This window comes from Homo sapiens, chromosome 5 (genome assembly GCF_000001405.40).
Source record: "Homo sapiens chromosome 5, GRCh38.p14 Primary Assembly".
Classification (NCBI taxonomy): Eukaryota; Metazoa; Chordata; class Mammalia; order Primates; family Hominidae; genus Homo; species Homo sapiens.
Genome location: NC_000005.10, coordinates 169,978,108 through 169,996,042, shown reverse-complemented (window position 1 = coordinate 169,996,042; position 17,935 = coordinate 169,978,108). Strand labels below are relative to the sequence as shown.

General features: G+C 42.5%; 2 protein-coding genes across 6 annotated transcripts in view, besides 1 other annotated feature; one reads left to right on the top strand and one right to left on the bottom strand.

The window, feature by feature from the left end:
- Window positions 1-17,935, bottom strand: part of DOCK2 (dedicator of cytokinesis 2) — a 446,108-nt gene that overhangs the window by 87,340 nt on the left and 340,833 nt on the right. For both annotated transcript variants that reach the window (NR_156756.1, NM_004946.3), the window contains exons 28-29: window positions 12,877-12,975; window positions 10,121-10,215 (exon numbers count right to left, since the gene is read on the bottom strand). Coding sequence is in view for 1 of the 2 variants with exons in the window: in NM_004946.3 (NP_004937.1) it covers window positions 10,121-10,215; window positions 12,877-12,975 (194 nt within the window). In the remaining variant the exon portion in view is untranslated. The remainder of the gene's footprint in view (window positions 1-10,120; window positions 10,216-12,876; window positions 12,976-17,935) is intronic.
- Window positions 14,860-15,598: an enhancer, noted in NCBI's record as "OCT4-NANOG-H3K27ac hESC enhancer chr5:169407449-169408187 (GRCh37/hg19 assembly coordinates)". NCBI's record gives its function as "activates a minimal SCP1, AML or CMV promoter by ChIP-STARR-seq in naive H9 embryonic stem cells {active_cell/tissue: H9 hESC(naive)}" and the evidence as "EXISTENCE:reporter gene assay evidence [ECO:0000049][PMID:30033119]".
- INSYN2B (inhibitory synaptic factor family member 2B) overlaps window positions 15,548-17,935 on the top strand; it is a 119,193-nt gene continuing 116,805 nt past the window's right edge. For 2 of the 4 annotated variants that reach the window (NM_001346304.2, XM_047416585.1), the window contains exon 1: window positions 15,548-15,747. The gene's annotated coding sequence lies outside the window, so the exon portion shown is untranslated. Of the gene's footprint in view, window positions 15,767-17,935 lie in introns of all 4 variants that reach the window. The other 2 variants (NM_001129891.3, XM_017008908.2) reach the window with 1 other exon arrangement.

Below are 17,935 nucleotides of genomic sequence, written 5' to 3'. Positions count from 1 at the left end.
CTTAAGTTCCTTCGTCCTTATGCCAGACTAAAATTCCCTTACCCTCTTTGGAGAGAGGCTCAAAGGCCAAATTACTGATTTAGAGAGGTCAGCTAATGCAGATTAACAACTATTCACACTCTAGACTCGGGGCTGTTTGCCTTGCAAGAACTCAATAACTGTTCGACTTCTTTTTGAAAATTTGCATTGTCTTATGTTTAAGATATTACAAGCTTATGGAAGAAAATTCATGCTATCCAGAAAAGATCTAAAGAGAAATCACCCCCCCCATCCCCAAACAAACAAATAAACAACCTGCTACCACATCGTATCACCTAACGAAAACTGTCATCCATGTTTTGATGAACATAATTTCAAGGGTCTCCCTACATGTATATACATGAATGATATTTTCAGGGTATCATTTTGATAAATGGGGCTAAACAACAAATGCTGTTTCACAGCCTGTCGTTTTTACTCAACAATAAATTGTGTACTTCTTTCAGGCCAATGAATGTAGATATATATCATCCTTTTTAATCACTGAAGAGCATTCCACTGTATGGATGTATCACAGTTTAATCCATTTCTTATTGATGGATCTTTTTGGGTTTTTTTCTCAGTTTTTTCTGTAATAAACAATGCTCCAGTGATCACTCTTCTGTGTATATCAAATACCTCCTATATATACCCCTTCTCCACTGTTCTCCTCCAAGTAATAATACTGTTCAAATGGGCCGGGTGCAGTGGCTTGCGCCTGTAATCTCAGCACTTTGGGAGGCTAAGGTGGGTGGATCACTTGAGGTCTGGAGTTCAAGACCAGCCTGACCATCGTGGTGAAACCCTATCTCTACTAAAAATACAAAAATTAGCCGGGCGTTGTGGTGCACGCCAGTAATCCCAGCTACTTGGGAAGCTGAGGCATGAGGATCCCTTGAACCCAGGAGTTGGAGGTTGCAGAAATCTGAGATCATGACACTGCACTCCAGCCTGGGCAATAGTGAGAGTCTCTCTCAAAAAAAAAAAAAAAAAAATAAAAAATAACAATACTGGTCAAATGTCATGCATGTTTAACATTTTGGTACTTGTCAATTTGCATTTCTCCTTAAGTGTCTTCCTCTCCATGTTGTTCTCTCCTTCCTCCTTGCCAAGCCCTTCTGACTGGTCTTGCAGCCTCCAGTCTCTTCATCCTGAAAAGCTCCTTCCCCTAAAGGACAGCTCCATCATATCAATCATTGACTTCATGGCTCTCCACTGCCTACAGGGTGAGTCCAAGCTCTTTCTCTGGACAGTCTCTCCCCTCATGATGGGACCCCAACCTTCTTTTCTAGGCTTATTTCTTGCTAGTACCCTGTGTTTCTGGTATTTCCCAAATCCCTCTCTATGTTCTTTCTTTGTGTAGAATGTCCCTTGCCTTCTCATCTCTGAAAGTCAGGATTCTTCATGGTCATTATCCTTCATGGTCCAGATCGAGAGCCTTCTTCATTTAGTTTTCCACCATCCCACCAGCCTTAAGTGACTGAGACCACCCCCATTCTCTGAGGTTATTTCTGGCACCCCTCCTATGAGCACACTTTACATCCAGCTGTCTGTGTGCAGCCGCATCTCTAATTTCAGACTATGAGCTTCTGCAGGGCAGGGTCTGCTGCACCCATGTGTACCCCAAGGGATCCTCATTGCAACCCCCTTTCCCAACATTCATCATGGTCTAGGATGATTTACTTGTATGACTCAGTAACATCTCTCTCCTTTGGTAGATTCTACTCTTCTGGGAATCACAGACTCCCTCTATGCTCTCACATACTCCCCAGTCCACATGACTTTAACTCCTAAATTTGTATATCCATCCAGGCCTCTCCCCTAAACACCAGCTTGCACTCCAGCTCTATGATCTATACCCATACTTGAGTAACTTTTAGGCATCTCAAGCTTACATGTCAAAAACTAAACTCCGGCCACCTGCCCTCCCTACACCCACCCTGAAATACTGCTTTCTGTAGTCTTCCCAACTAAGTTAAGGACAATTCTATTCTTCCAATTGCTCAGAGTGGGGGGAAAAAAGGAAACAATTTTGGTAACGTCCTTGACTATGACTTTCTCTCATATCCTACACCTGGACTTTACAGAACACATTTGCATATAAGAAGTGTCCCCTCCCAGGGAACAAGAAGGTTGGGTTATTTACACCTTAGCTGTAGCCCCTCACTGATTGAAAGTTGCTCCAATGAGCAGGAAGTCCCTGGTACTTCTGGCCTGTCCTGCAGGTGAGCTGAGCACTCTGTAGCCAGACAAAGCCCAGGGAAAGAAAGAAGTAGGAAAGCCTCACTGAAGCTGCCAGTGGATTTTGGGTGGTCCAAGAGTCGGTGGGTGGAGTATCTGCAGCATTTGCTACATCAGGCACTGCAGGGCCAGGTGTTCATTAAAATACTTTCATGACTGTTGAACACGGAAGACAGTGTATCCTGGCACTGGAATCACAGGATTTGGACACACACACACACACACACACACACAAATGGATGTGATTTCTGGCTTTGTTACTCTCCAGCTGTGTGGAATTGAAGCATGTTAATATAACCCCTGAAGTTTCAGTCTCCTCCCTTGTGAAATAGCAGTAATGTAACCTTTTTCACAGGGTCACTAGCTGAGGTGGCTTCAGACCCCTCTGGACTGCTTCATTCTTCTAAAGGCAAGAGCCAGACAACAGGGCAGACAGAGGACAGGGATCAGTCAGCAGACAGTTTTGAGGCAGGCAGCACCATACAAAAACAGAAATAAAAATCCCACAAAATCTGCCACCCCATCAGGCTGTCACAAAGTGAGATTTCTTTGGTTTTGTTAGTCTGTTATTCACCAATATGTCTTTGAAACAACATTGTATTTTGTGTTCTCTCCTTAAAGATTAGTTATCTGATCCCCCAGATGGAAATGCATTGAGTGCCTGTCACATTATATGTAAACATCTCAGAAACTTGAATACAATATCAAAGAGGGGGCTTTCACACATTCTCAGCACCAACAAAGCTATCAGTCATTCCAGTAACAGTCATTATTTTGGTTGTCAGCTTAAACTTGTCTCCAGCCTCAAAGGCCAGCCTAATGACCGCGAATTGATTTGCCCCTGTGCTGATGATGGGGATTAGTAGCAGGTAAATCAAAGTTCCTCCCTTTCTCTAGAGTCTTTCATAGCCACACACTGGAAATCAGAATATCACTTAACTTTGGGTGCCCATGTTTGGGTTTGGAAAAGTAAGGCATTTTTCTTCTCATTTTTCTTGTTTTTTTTTTAAAAACAGTAATTGGCTGGGCACGGTGGCTCACGCCTATAATCCCAGCACTTTGGGAGGCCGAGATGGGTGGATCATGAGGTCAGGAGTTCGAGACTAGCCTGGCCAACATGGTGAAACCCCATTTCTACTAAAAATACAAAAATTAGCTGGGCGTGGTGGCGAGTGCCTGTAATCCCAGCTACTCGGGAGGCTGAGGCAGGAGAATTGCTTCAACCAGGGAGTTGGAGGTTGCAGTGAGCCGAGATCACACCACTGCACTCTAGCCTGGCAACAGAGCGAGACTCCGTCTCAAAACAACAACAATAATTGTACTTAAAGCCTAAGCACTCATATGGTAAAGTGGGTTAGGACGAAAACACACTCAACTCTATTACTCTCAACAATGAACCTGAATTGTTGAAAACAAAGTTCGTTATCAGATCTCAACCTAGCACTTGCTGTGTCTCGTCTGTGTTGCTTAGCGGCTGTATAGGAGGAAGAACAATCCCAACCATGGTTTTCAACTGCCTGCCAGGCTCCATGCTAGGGCTTTGCATGGATTCTTTCCTCTGTTGCTTTTGTTTTTCTAATGCTCACATATCTCTGAGTTAGATATGGTTTCCACTTTAGAGACGTGAGTTTAGGTAACTTTCCCAATAGCCCAGCCAGTACATGTAAAATCAGGATTTACATGAAGTTACACGGCCTGCAGAATCTAGGTATTTAACCACAGGGCAGTTCTGTCCACAGGGACATCTCTGTAGTTCTGTTCAATCCAAGCCGTGAGCTCACTTTATTAATAATGACAATGATGGAAGCATCAATTGCCATAATTCATATGGCCTGTGCTAACAGTTCTACAAACATTATTTCATTTAATTCTATAAACTGAAATAGGAGCTACTGTTATACCCATTAAACATAAGAGGAAACTGAGTCTTAGAAAGAGCAAATAATTTCCCCACATTCAAACAGCAAAGAAGCAGAAGAGTCCAGACCCAAACTCAGGTCTGTCTTTCTCTAAAGTGTTTTCAGTTAACCAGAAGGACACACTGGCTCCTTGAACTTCCGGCACTGGCATGCTTCCACTAATGCCTGCCATGCACGCAGCCCTTCGCACTTTGTCCGCATCATTCTGCTGCCTGCCTACAGCTGACTGGGTCCAGAGCCAACACGTGACTCAAAGCAGTCTTGTATGGGCTGGCCAGCAGCCCATGGGTGGTCTTATGGATATAGCACTGTGCAATGGAAATACCCAAGCCTGGACAGAAGTAGATCCATCCTTTCAAATAGCCCACAAGGAGGGAGAACGCAGTCTGAGCCTTGAGCAGAAGCCATGGGCAGATGATTCCATGAGGAACCAGAAGCCATATGCAATAGAGCAGGGAACAGATAAGTCAGCTGTTGTGAGTAGGAAGAAGCTGGCAGAAAGAGGAGCCAAACCCAGGCTTGCTACCCTCAAAACTGTTCCATGTGAGGCCTCACAGAGCCTGCTGGCTCAAGTCCCCAGTTTCCTACTTCTCTTCATGTGGCAGAACAAATCCTGGTGTCAGGAGGCAGCCGAGAATAAGCCTATACACACTACATGTACTACTCCCTGGCCCAGGCCCAGGAATGGAAGGTGCACACAGAGTCCTACAGGCGCTGCAAGCCTGCCAGGGTCACCTTCCCACTCAGCCACTCTTCTGAGCTGCGGCCGTGGGCTGGGTGGTTGACCTCTGTGAATCTCAACTGCCCCATCTGTAAAAGGAGCCATGTGTGAAGACTAAATGAGCTGCAGTACATGAAGCAGGGGCCCAGTGCCTGGGCACACAGATGTCCTCAGTACATGTCAGCTGTTGTTGTTATGGTTATCCTTAAATGCCCATGGCCTCGAAGTTCTGGGGCAGGAGGATATGAGGCTGATAATACTCCCATGTGACAACACAGCGTGGACCATGCCCACAGGCAGTATCATGTGAACAAAAGAGGGGAGAGGAGGCGGACATGCCCTATCTGGTGAGATTCACCAAGGGAGAGAAAAGGCCACTCCAAATCCCAATCCCCTGTCATTCATGGGATGTAGTTGATTCTACTGGTTAGAACTAAAGATAAAAGCATTGGCTGGGAGACACAGACATCCCTCCTCTTGAGCCGCTGGGATACCTATTCTCCCACAGAGCATTTCAGTGCCTCCTTTACAACACACAAAATGCTCCATGGGCCAAAAGGTTCGAATGAATCAGCATATTCCAGCTCAGTGACAGGACACGGTTCACCCCAAGTGCCCGGAAACATTTTCTGCATAATTTGGGATTCCAGTTAGGGATGCAGCAGGCTCTGGGATCGGGATCCTGCAGCCAGCTGGATGTCAGGATTAGGTGTTCTTTGCTGATTAATGAAACCATGAAGAGGTAAGCTGGGCATGGTGGCTCATGTCTGTAATCCCAGCACTTTGGGAGGCTGAGGCAGGTGAGTCACCAGAGGTCAGGAGTTCGAGACTAGCCTGGCCAATGTGGTGAAACCCTGTCTCTATTAAAAATACAAAAATTAGCCAGGCATGGTGGCGTGCACCTGTAATGCCAGCTACTGAGGGGGCTGAAGCAAGAGAATCACCGGAATCTGGGAGGTGGAGGTTGCAGTGAGCTGAGATCGTGCCATTGCACTCCAGCCTGGGCGACAGAGTGAGACTCTGTCTCAAAAGAAAAAGAAGAAGAAAAAAAAAAACATTAAGAGGGTTCTTTCTTTCTGGATTACATGGATTGGAGGAGGTGGGGACCCCAAAAACGAATAATCACTACAAATTAAGGTAGGTAGGATGAAGGGAAAATGGGTGTCAGTGATTCATCAGCACACTGATGGAACTACCATATGAAAAGGTAGACAAGATCCAGCCCAGATTTGCTGCTTCAGTGAAGTAGTTTGGCTATACCCAAACCATAGAAATAGAAATATAAAATAAAAATAACTAACATTTATGAAGCGCTTGCTATGTGTCAAACACTATTCTAACTACTTTCTACATATTACTTCATTTTAGTTCCCACAAATATCCTTGTGGTAGGTATCATTATTAGCCACATTTTACAGTGAGGAAAACAGAGTCTAGAGTGGTGAAGGATCTTGCTCAGATGGAATTTGAATCCAGGCAGCCATAAGTCCTAACTGCCCTGTTCTGCCTCTGGTCTCTGTCTGGGCTCCAAATTCATGACAGCAACTGCAGCTTGCATTTCCATGGGAATATTTATTGTTTCCCCAGCTAGACCGTAAGCCCTCTGCCTTCTGGGACCATAGCTTAAATTGGCCTGTCCATTGCCTACAACCCTGGATGCTCATGAAATTCAATAAATATTTGGTGGTTGGCTGCATTTAGGGTAACTTTAGGGCTATGCATAAATCCTAAGCCTCCTCAAAATGTTGGATTTCTAGAGTGAGGTGCAGATGGAAGAGAGGTAAAAGAGGTTTCTAGGCATAATCTTGTTCATTTACAACATTATAAAGAACTTGATCATTTAAAAATTAACAACATCATGTAAATCAGATCTTACTGTGTTGCAGCTTACCAAAAAGAAAAACACTCTAACAGGAAGTATTTCTTGCAGGAGATGTGTCACTATGTCTGCATACGCAAACAGTACACAGCTGGGGAGACATTAAAATCTAGAAAACTCCACTCCCTTTTCCAACAAACAGATAAGTAAATAATAGATGACTAATGCATACATAACACAGAAATCATAAGTGATAATAGAAAAATTATAAAAACAGGCCAACTATCATAACATACAGATCATGGAAGGAAGGAAGAAAAGTTAGTTGGAATGTCCAGACATACTGACAAGTGAAGTTGGCCCTGACCACATGAATAAGTTGCACCTTTTTGGAGAAAAGAAAATGGTATTCTGGGGAACACTGGTCTGGCATAAGTCATGGTACCTGTTCTGTTTATCTAAATTGGGTTGAAATTGTTCACTAGTGGCATGACCTTGGAGAGTCATTTCACCTCTCTGGGCAAAATGCACTTAATAATATGGAGATTACTTTGGGAGGCCGAGGCAGGCAGATCACCTGAGGTCGGGAGTTCAAGACCAGCCTGACCAACAGGGAGAAACTCCTTCTCTACTAAAAATACAAAATTAGCTGAGCATAGTGGTGCATGCCTGTAATCCCAGCTACTTGGGAGGCTGAGGCAGGAGAATCACTTGAACCCAGGAGGCGGAGGTTGCAGTGAGCTGAGAGCATGCCATTACACTCCAGCCTCGGCAACAAGATAGAAACTCTGTCTCAAAAATAAATAAATAAATAAAACAATAATAATAATAATAATACAGAGATTAAGAGCATTGTTTTCAATGAAATGGCTTCTGTTTCTTTTCAGCAATGCAACAGGAAGTATGTTACTTATCTATTCTGTACCTCAGCTTCCTCTTATATAATGCGTGGATTATAGTTGTTCTACATTATAAAGTTGTTGGGAGGATTAAATGAACTAATTTCATGTAAAGCCTTTGCAACAGTGATGGATCTCGGTACTTAATAAATGTTAGCTATTATAATATACAAAATGCAAAAATAGTGAGAACATTTCATGTGTTCTATAAACATAAGAGATCATTTTGGCCAGAAGATGCAGGAAATCTTCGAACTAAGCTATGTGCCTGCAAGCAGAAAAAAGCAATCTTTTCTGGTTGACATTAACACATGCTTCTTTAGTCTAAAGCTAAGTTTGTTGTCATCACCTAGTGATGGCAACGCTATTATTATTGATATTTTCCTTGATCCTGGCACTGTGCTAAGGAGTAACTCATTCTATCCTCGTACACACAAAGCAATTTTCATGAAATAGAAACTACCATTATCCCCATTTTACAGACTAGGAAACTAACACTCCAAGAGGTTAAATGACTTCCCAAGAAAGAGAAAGTGGCAGAATTAAAGAGTCTGAAGCCCAGGCTGTGTTCTAGAGTCTAACTTTTTTCTTTAATGTACAAAACATAAGTACTTGGCTGACCCTTAAGAGATACAAATCTATGATTTCTATTTAGGAGAGATTTCCAATGTATTAGGTCCGTTAGGAAATTACATTCTAATTTTCTAGGTATAAAGAAATAAGGATTACTGTATCATTTCTGGGGGCCTCTCCCAAAAATGACTAAAGTTTGAATGAAGCTGGGATTTCAGGAGGAAATATTCCTTCAAAGCACTCCCATGGGACCCAGCACATGTTTCTTCCAGAAGGACCGTGTGGACAGCTCAGAAGGGGAAGTTGCCTGGCCAGGGCTCCAACCCCAAGACCCTGGATCAAGGCTGGACATCTGTGCATTCACCTGCCCATTATTTAGTCCTCTTTCTGGTAACAACTTCTAGATTTTCCTTTGAAGAACTACTCTCTCTGCTTCTTTCCTTATTCCCTGACTTTGTGGTTTTGGTAGAACTGACCCAGTTCCAAAGGCGGGTCATGAAATCCAAGCCTGACTTAATAGCACATTTCATTTGGCTGGCCGCAGAGGTCCATGGATGGGCATGTAGCTCAGGCCAGACCTTTGAAGAGTGGCCTCAGGATTTTTTCTGTACCTATAGGAAAAGAAGCCTTTTCATTCTATTGTGGTTGAAAATACAACAAGGAATATATCTGCAACTTCTAGAGCCCATTTTCCCCACTAAGAGAGCATCTGCCTGAGAATCAAGTAAATAGAAAAAGCAGAGAGAGACACACACACAGATTCCCTACATTGCTATTTGAGCACCTAGATACATCCATGCCTGAAGCCACACCTCAGGGCTCTTTCAGTTATCTGTGCCAATACATTCTCTTTTTGCTTGGGCAAGTTTGAGTTAGTGTTTGCTCTTTCCCTTCCACTTCAGAGAATTCTGATTTTGTCTTTTTAACTTCTCCCCTTATTCTGCCCTCTAGGGATATTTCTATCTTTGCCAGACAATGCTTGGTTTTTTGATATAAAACAAGAACAATAGGTAGAGGGAGATAAAACTAGACACCAGTATAAGTTGAAGGGCTTTCCATGAAAGAATTTAAAACAAATAAAATAAGCCAAAGGAAAGCAGGGAGAAAGAAAAGAGAAGAACCAAAAAGATGCTGTTTTAAAGGAACTGATCGGCAGGATTTGAGAATCAGGTTCTGAGAGAGGCTTGGGGAAATCCAAGGAATATTAGAAATAAACCCAAGGGAATATTAGAAAAGATTAATGAATGTTATAATTTGGATTTTACTTTGGTGAAATGATATAAGAAACCTAGGAGCAGAGACTGAAATTGTTTAGAATTACTTTTATCTCTTGTTGTGTTGGGCCATAGGACATCTAAGCTATACTTGGGTTACACTGATAGTGTAGGAGATGTTAACGGGTATTATAGATACACACATAGACACACCAAATGCACATCCTATGTGCAAATGGATGGGCAAATGGAATGCTGTACCCTAAATCCTCCTCTTAGAAAAAAATCACATTAGCAAATTAAAAGCTTGAAGAAGTCCTGCAGCATGGAAATCTGTTCAAATCTGTTTAATTTAATGCTTCCTAAACTTATTTTACCATGTCACAGAATATATTTTATTACTTTTTAAAAATTAAAATAATATATTTTTAAAATGCTTTTCTAAGATCTCCTGTCCCAAGAGTGAACGAAAGGCTTCAGAGATGAAGTATGATATTCTAACTGGGATTTGAAAAATGGAGAAGTTGGAGACGATTTTTTGAGTAGCTTCGATTGGTGAGGAGTCCTTCCCTGGGTTTAAAGATAGAAAGAAAGCATGCCTTAACACTTTAATTTCTTTTCAGCAAGGAGAAATTGTCCCTAATTTAACCCAAAATAAGTGATCTTTGAAGTGAGGGCTGGGTAAGGTAGCTTTGCGGAAGCAGGTAGCAGCTCACCTGTTTTGAACCATGCTCATGGCCATCCAGTCTCCAGGGTACACGTTCTTTCCAATGAGGTCCTTGAACATGATGAAGGTCTCCATCAAGAAGTCCTGAAACAATGAAGCACAGCACACATGTCATCCTGTTTTACAGGAACTCAGAGCTTGTTGGCTCTTCAAATTTTTTTGCTATTATATTTTGGAGGGAGGAAAAGGGAAGGGACACAGCCTTTCATTAACTAAATTAAATGGAAGCTTAAAGATTGAATGCTGGAATGCTGTTTCCCAAATGTCAGTGGAACATGAATATGGGATGCGAAAATGTTCTCAAAATAAAGCACTATTAATTCCATCTTTGGGAATAAAGAAGTAAATGTACTCATTGATGTGGCAATTTTATAATCATTTTCACAAATATGTATTTGAGAAGGAAATAATCTCACTGTATGAAAGCATCTCAGGTCATTGAGCAAATAAACTCTTATTAAAATGAACATCTAATTAGCAGTGCTGTAAATACAGCTAATTCATATGTCACACACATACACACACACACACACACACACACACACACACACACACACACACACGAGCAGATTAGCTGAGACACAATGACAGGAACTCTTCCTCTCCTTTGAAGAGGTTCTTAGCGGACTTCAGCACCCTTCACTAGATTTTGCAGTGAGCCATACTTTTTCTCCATCTTTGGAAAACACAAATTAAAGCAAAATCTGGAGGCCAGGCACGGTGGCTCCCACCTGCAATCCCAGCACTTTGGGAGGCTGAGAAGGGTGGATCATGAGGTCAAGAGATTGAGACCATCCTGGCCAACATGGTCTCTACTAAAAATACAAAAATTATCTGGGTGTGGTGGCAGACACTGTAATCCCAGCTACTCGGGAGGCTGTGGCAGAATAACTTGAACCCAGGAGGCGGAGGTTGCAGTGAGCCAAGATCGTGCCACTGCTCTCCAGCCTGGTGACAGAGCGAGATTCTGTCTCAAAAAATAAAAAATAAATAAAGAAATCTGGATAGCTAAGACCAGAACCACTGGCACTGAGACCCTTTTGAGCTGGAGGTAGTGAAGACATACCACCAGTGTACTTTAGGCAAAATTTAAAATCTAGAGGAAATCCGTTCAGAGTTGTTTCCTTAAGTTGGTGGTTTTCAAATTATTTTAACAGCAGAATTCTTTGTTCAAAGAAAGCCTTACCTGGAGCCCAATATATAAAATATATAAAGGTAGAACAGCTCTGGTGGAATTGTGTGTGTGTGTGCGCACGTGTGTGCATGTTTATGGTAAAGCATAGTGAGGATAGGAGGAACATAATTTGAAAATCACTGCTTTTAGCTAAGTTGCAAAATTCTGGAAATGACATTTGTTCCTTTCCAGCAATCTTTGTTGCTAGGGAAAACTACCTCAACACTTTAAGTCCTAGTTTCCACGTCAGCAGAATGGGAATAATATCTACTTCAAAGGGTGACTGTGACGATTAAGTGCATACTGCCTATCACATGCTTAGTACAGAGCCTGGTCTCCTACAAATTCTCATTACCTGTTGATGATGATGGTGAGTATTGTTATATTATTCATACTTGATGTCACCTGCGGAAGTGTGGATATCATCACAGGCACATCCCCTTCCTGTGGAAATGAAGAAGGCTCCTGGCTCATAGATGGGAAGAGTGGCTTCTTAATGAGGAGATAGTGTGGTATAAGGGTTACAGTCAATGTCCAGACCTTACCTCCACCACATACTAGCTACGGGACCTTGAGCAAGCAGATTGTAGAGTTGTGAAATGTGACTCCTAATTTCCATGTCATACTTTTGTGAGGGTTATGTAAGAAAATGTGTATGTTCAATCATTAAGAATTCCATTTCTTACCTTCTTCCCCCAGAAACCTTTCCTTCCATACAGGATCAAAAATTAGGAGTCCAGTTTTTCTATTTCCATGTCTTAAGACATAGGGAAATTGGAGGTTGAGGGAAAAGTTCCATTTCTTGCCAATCTTACTCCAAGGGAGAGAACATCTCACTACTGAATGGATGAAAGGGTAGGGCATTAGTTTTCTAATGATTCCTTTTTTTATGGGCCACTCTCTGAGGTTGATCCAATTTTGGTGCTCCTGGTCTCTCCAGGGAGAGTTGAGAGTGACCTTAAGCAGTGGGACTCCTGAACCTGGTAGCAACAAGACAGAGAGAAAGGAGGCCACACTGAGGGCAAAGTGTGCTCTGCTCCACCCTTGGGGCAGGAACAGCCTGGGCTGGGCTCTATGTTAATGAAGTCATCAGCTGCAGAGATAGAAGCCACAGGCCACGGGCAGATGGTCTTGCAGCAAATGCATCCTGAGAGGCTAGAAGAAGGTGGCCCAGAGACCAACTTCCTCTAGGCATTTGTGATCTTAATAAGAGCTATATTTTACTGAGCACTTACTACGTGAGAGCTATTGTGTTCTCGTGCAACCCCTTCTTAGCCCTATGACATAAATGACATTATCCCCACTTTACAAATGGGGAAACTGAGGCATAAAAGGATTCACCTGACCATGGTCACACAGCTAGCATGTGACAAATCCTAGATGCAAACCTAAGAATGTATGACTCTAACAGTCATGCTCTTAAACCCCAAAATGTCTGTGATTCATCAACAAATATTGGTTAAGTCATATCTAGATTATGTGATAGACAGGCAGGTCTCTCTGACAGGGACAGAAGCCATGTTCCAGAGATGGAAGAGTTCTTCCTCACCCCCAGCATCCTGCAGACTCACCACAAGTTCAGAGCTGGTCTGGAAGGTCTCAATGTAGAAGGAGTAGTGCTGGTCACCCATCTGGTTTAAGATGGCTGTCATACATGCCACAAAGTGACTCTGCAAGAAATGAAGACAAATACTATAAATAGTTGAGAGAGGACCATGGAAAACTTCCCTGTGAGAAAATGTCTCCTTATGGCTCATTCATCAATAAAGTATTTACTGAGTACTATTATGTGCCTGGGACTGTAATAGCAGTGCCGAACATAAACATAACACCTGATCCATTACCTCTCCTGCTGTTCGCACACTGGGGAAAGAGCACTGTACTTGTGTCAGGAAATCCAGCCTATTTCAAAATCATGGAGACAGTTTCATTTTATGACAAATAATTTTACATGTGTAAGTCCCAATCGTCTCATCTGTCAAATGGGACAATAATTCATCTGAATCTACCTCTAGAGCAGTATCAAAAGAATCAGGTGGCTCCTTTAGCACCTTGAAATGCACTAAAGTTCTCTGCAGTGGAATCTGTAGTTGGATCACCAGGAATCAGCCAGTGGCAACCCAGCACCTCCTGGGGCCTGCCACTTGGTAAGAGCTGAGAGGGATGAAAGAAATGAGAAGAGATGGCTCTTGCTCTTTGTGAGTTCATGATCTAGTTGGGAAAGCGAGATTAATCATGAGAGAAAAAGAGTAAGACCCTCAATTGGCAAAGCCAACTAAGTACCAGAAAGATTCAAAGAAGAGGGAAATCAAGGCAGGGACACAGAGAGGAGACCCTCTGAGCAGAGGAGGAACCACACCCTTTCATGCACCAGAAGACATCAGCATAGCCTTTTCTGCTTCCTCTTTCCCAGATTTATCAGTCCATATCAGGGTGAGTTTTCTGTGTCTGCAAGCAGCATTCAGGGAGATCTATTCTGGAACCTGGTAAACAAAGCACTAGCCACGAATCCACCAGGGGTGAGAAGTCATTTTTGACTGTCTCTTGCAAGTTTCCACTGGGGCTGCCATCTTGGCCAAATGAAGTTCTACTGTGGTCCAGCCAAGCACGGGCTTGTGGAAGATGGCCTGGCTGGAAGTATTATGTTTGAACCAAAAAAAAAAAAAAAAGCATTTTTACCATAAACTGCTGCCTTTTTTATATAAAAAAGTTCCTCTTTTGTTAATAAAATAACAAATATGAAATATATACAGGCATACCTTGAAGATATTATGGGTTTGGTTCCAGACCACCGCAATAAAGTGAATATCACAATCAAGCCAGTCGCATGAATGTTTTGGCTTCTCAGTGCATATAAAAGTTATGTTAACACTCTATTGTAGTCTATTAAGTATGCAATAGCATTATGTTTAAAAAAATATAAATTTTAATTTGAGAACATAAACCTTAATTTAAAAATATTGCTAAAAAACTCTAATGATCATCTGAGCCTTCAGTAAATAGGAATCATTTTGCTGGGGGAGGGTCTGGGCTTGATGCTGATGGCTGCTGACTGATCAGGGTGGTGGTTGCTGAAGACTAGAGTGGCTGTGGCAATTTCTTAAAAAAAGACAACAGTGAACTTTGCCATAGTGAAGTTTGTTTATAGTGTGCTAAAACAATTATAATAGTAACATCAAAGGTCACCGATCACAGATCACCATAACAGGTATAATAATAATGAAAAAAATCTGAAATATTGCTTGGATTTCCGAATTGTGATGCAGAGATACGAAGTGAGCACAGGCTGTTGGAAAAATGGTGCCAAGAGACTTGCTCAATGCAGGGTTGCCACAAACCTTCAATTTGTAAAAAACAGGTATCTGTGAAGCATAATAAAACGAGGTATGCCTGTATGTATATATACACGTGTATATATTTCCTCCCAGGTTTACAATTTCGTTCTAGTGGTAGAGAAACAGGAAGCCTTTTGGAAAACTGTTTCTTAAGTTTATACTCCCGAAAGTAGCTCCCATGATATGGATTTTCATTTGTTTCTAGGTTCTTTTCAATTGGGAAGTTAGGGATAGCATGCTTTCCTTGTCAGCAGGAACAGCTATGTAATTAGTGAGTCCCAGAACAAAGTAAAAATGCAAAGCCCTTGTTTAAAACTATTCAGAATTTTGAAACAGCCATGGAGCCCTTCTAAGCAAGGGGTCTGTCATGACTACGAAGCTTACAAACCCAGGAAGCTGGCTCTCCCTGCCAAGTGACCACCACACCCACACACCGTAAATGACTAGAAAACATGCAAATCCGGCGGAGATCACAAAGCTGGGACTCTCAGGGACAATGGCTGATGATGCTTTGTTGATGGGAACTTGTAGCCTCTACACTGGGTGGCAGGCAACTCCTTGAAGAGCCAGAGTCAAATTCTTTTTCCTGCTCAGGCCCCCAGGGGGTGGTAGTGAGTGTGTGAAATTATCCCTTTCAAACTAGACAGAACACCGCCGTCACTGCTAATTTAACCAGCTCCCACTTAAATCAAGAAATAACCATTATTCTCGTTTCTACCTCCAGCCAGGCCAAATGCAAGAAAGGAGAAACCTTAGCATTTGTGGGGTGTAGGAGTGTGTGTATATGCATGTGTGTGTGCCTGCATATGTGTGTGTGTGTGTGTCTATACACACACAGGAGCGTGTGTTTCCTCTGCTCCATCTCTCCTCTCCCTTCCTTAAAGAATTCAGCCTGTGGCCACTAGAGGTCTTTTCTTTTCACATGGTAGCTGCCGAGCAGTTTGTTCGGCTTTTTATTTATTCCTACGTGAGCAGACCCACTACACTTCTTGCATATAAACAGTGAAAATTACAATATGAAGGACTTATTATTCCTTCTTTTGGAGTAATTTTGCTGCTGGTCAAAGCCTGGCTCATTGTGCAAGGAAGGGGGACCATCCTCTGCAGGTAATTCCACTGCTTCAAGGTAAGAGATGTGGGTAGGTTTTATTTTTTATGATCGATGATCCTCTGAGAGAAAATGCGATCGTCTCTTGGACAATAGTTTACTTTTAAAGCTTTGGCTTAAATCAACAGTGAGACTGGGAGCTTGTATGTGTGTGTGTGGTGGTATGTAGTGGAAAATCCACCATTGTCAGAACTGCAGGCTGCCCCAAATGCATGGATATGGAATGCTTGTTATTTCAAATGGCTTGATTTGAATTTGAAGGGGGAAAAAAAGCAAAGAAAAACAAACCTTGGATCTCAAGTTGCCTGGAATTGCCTTGAAAAGGATGAATTGTCTTAAGCCTTGTTTAGAGAAACTTCCATTCTTCATTTTAAAAGATAAAAAGGGAGGGGGATTCTAGTCCCCATCTAGAGAGAGTGGCTGTTTTATGAAAAAAACCATTATCTTTTCATTAGGAGTTGGTCGGTGTGTTGTAGTTCACTGATCAATCAAAATTACTTTTACCAGCTTGTTAATTTCTTAGTTCTCACTACCACGTAGAAAAACCCGGTTGCGTGCCTTTTGGTACGATTTGTAGTGCAATGTGACTGAAGTTTGGACAAGTTACCTGCATTTGGCTGTTAATGAAAAATGACAGTGTTTTACTTCTGACTAGAAGCATCTTTTTTTTCTGCTATGGTGTCTAGCCCCCTTTGGTATCAGATCTGTGGGAAATCACACCGATGTGAATGATTGATAACCTGAAATGGAGTGAGAAACAAGCAGCAGCTTCATATTCAGAAAAGTCTCCTTTCTGTCATTTGGATTTTAAAAACCACCTCTTTTGTCATACAGCGATAGAATCATGGAATAACATTTTGCTTCTCTGATGTGTGTCTCTTTTTCAGTAGTTTCCTCAAAAATGGCATTTGTGTCCTGCCCCTCTGTACAAGTTTGAGACCTTACTTCCATATCCACCATGTCTTAAATTTTTAGGGGACATAGGAATAGGGGTGGGGGAATGTTGAGCAGACTGCATTTGCCCTAGCAACTTAGACAGCCCTAACACTGACGTTGTTCAAACTTTACAGTGTAGGAGCTCGAACTCCCAGCCCTGTCAGAAACCTGGAAAAGCCTGAATACTGCATGGGGAACAGAGGGGTGGAGGGACCCCTTGCAGTCTCCAGGCTAGCAAGAATCCCCCTCTTTTCATCCCGGGCAGAAATTCTGTAATCGACATATTTACTACCTAGGAATGAGGCAGCCACTCATCCATATCCAAGCAGCATGCCAGGATGGGAAATTGCTTCTTAAAACAGAATTCCAGGGAGACTTGCATATTAAATTCCAGTGAGAAATTGTATCTGAGACTCTGGCACAAACCAGACAGTGTCACCTCGCTCCGATTGGGATGGTTTAAAATGTGGCTAATGAATCACAGCATGAAGAGACACGGTTTGAAACTAGGTCAAACGTGTAAAAATAAGTGCAATCATCGCAGGCACTTGGCTGATGAGGGACTACTTAACACCTTGAGTGGCAGGGCTTATTTGCTGTACAGAACCCTCTTCAGTGATCCAAGACAATCAATCCTCTTAATTAATTCAGCCCTTCGGGACGTAGGGAGGTCTTGCACACTTGGAAGCTCCAAAGGAAAAGAGTGAGGGTCTCTTCACTGTGTGATGGTGAGAGAGAAGAAGAGAAACCCAGTATTGTGTGATCAAAATTAATTAGCTGGGATACTAGGTGATTGTGATCAGGAGATTAGCACTCCCCAAATCATTCCACTCTTTTGCATTAAAAAATTCATCATCATCATCATCATGATATTGACAATGCCAATAATTTTAGTGTACAACATTCAACTTAAACATATCTATTTAACAACCTCTAATGCAAACACACCTACACCCCCCCCCCCCCACACACACACACACACATACACAGAGCCAGGACCCCTGCAGTGCCATGTGAACTGAGGGAAAGGCTACCAGTTTGCCTTGCCTTGGGAAACAAACAAACAAAATAGGGGCGAGGGGCATGGGTGCTGCCTGCCCATGCAACCCTCACTCACCTAAGATTAGTAGGAGTGATGAGATCGCAGAGGGAGTGAAACAGCCAACTTCGGAAGCTTGCTACCTAAATGCCAACATTACTATGTGATACCAGCTGGTGACACGTTGCTATAGTAACTTCAAATAATGCGCA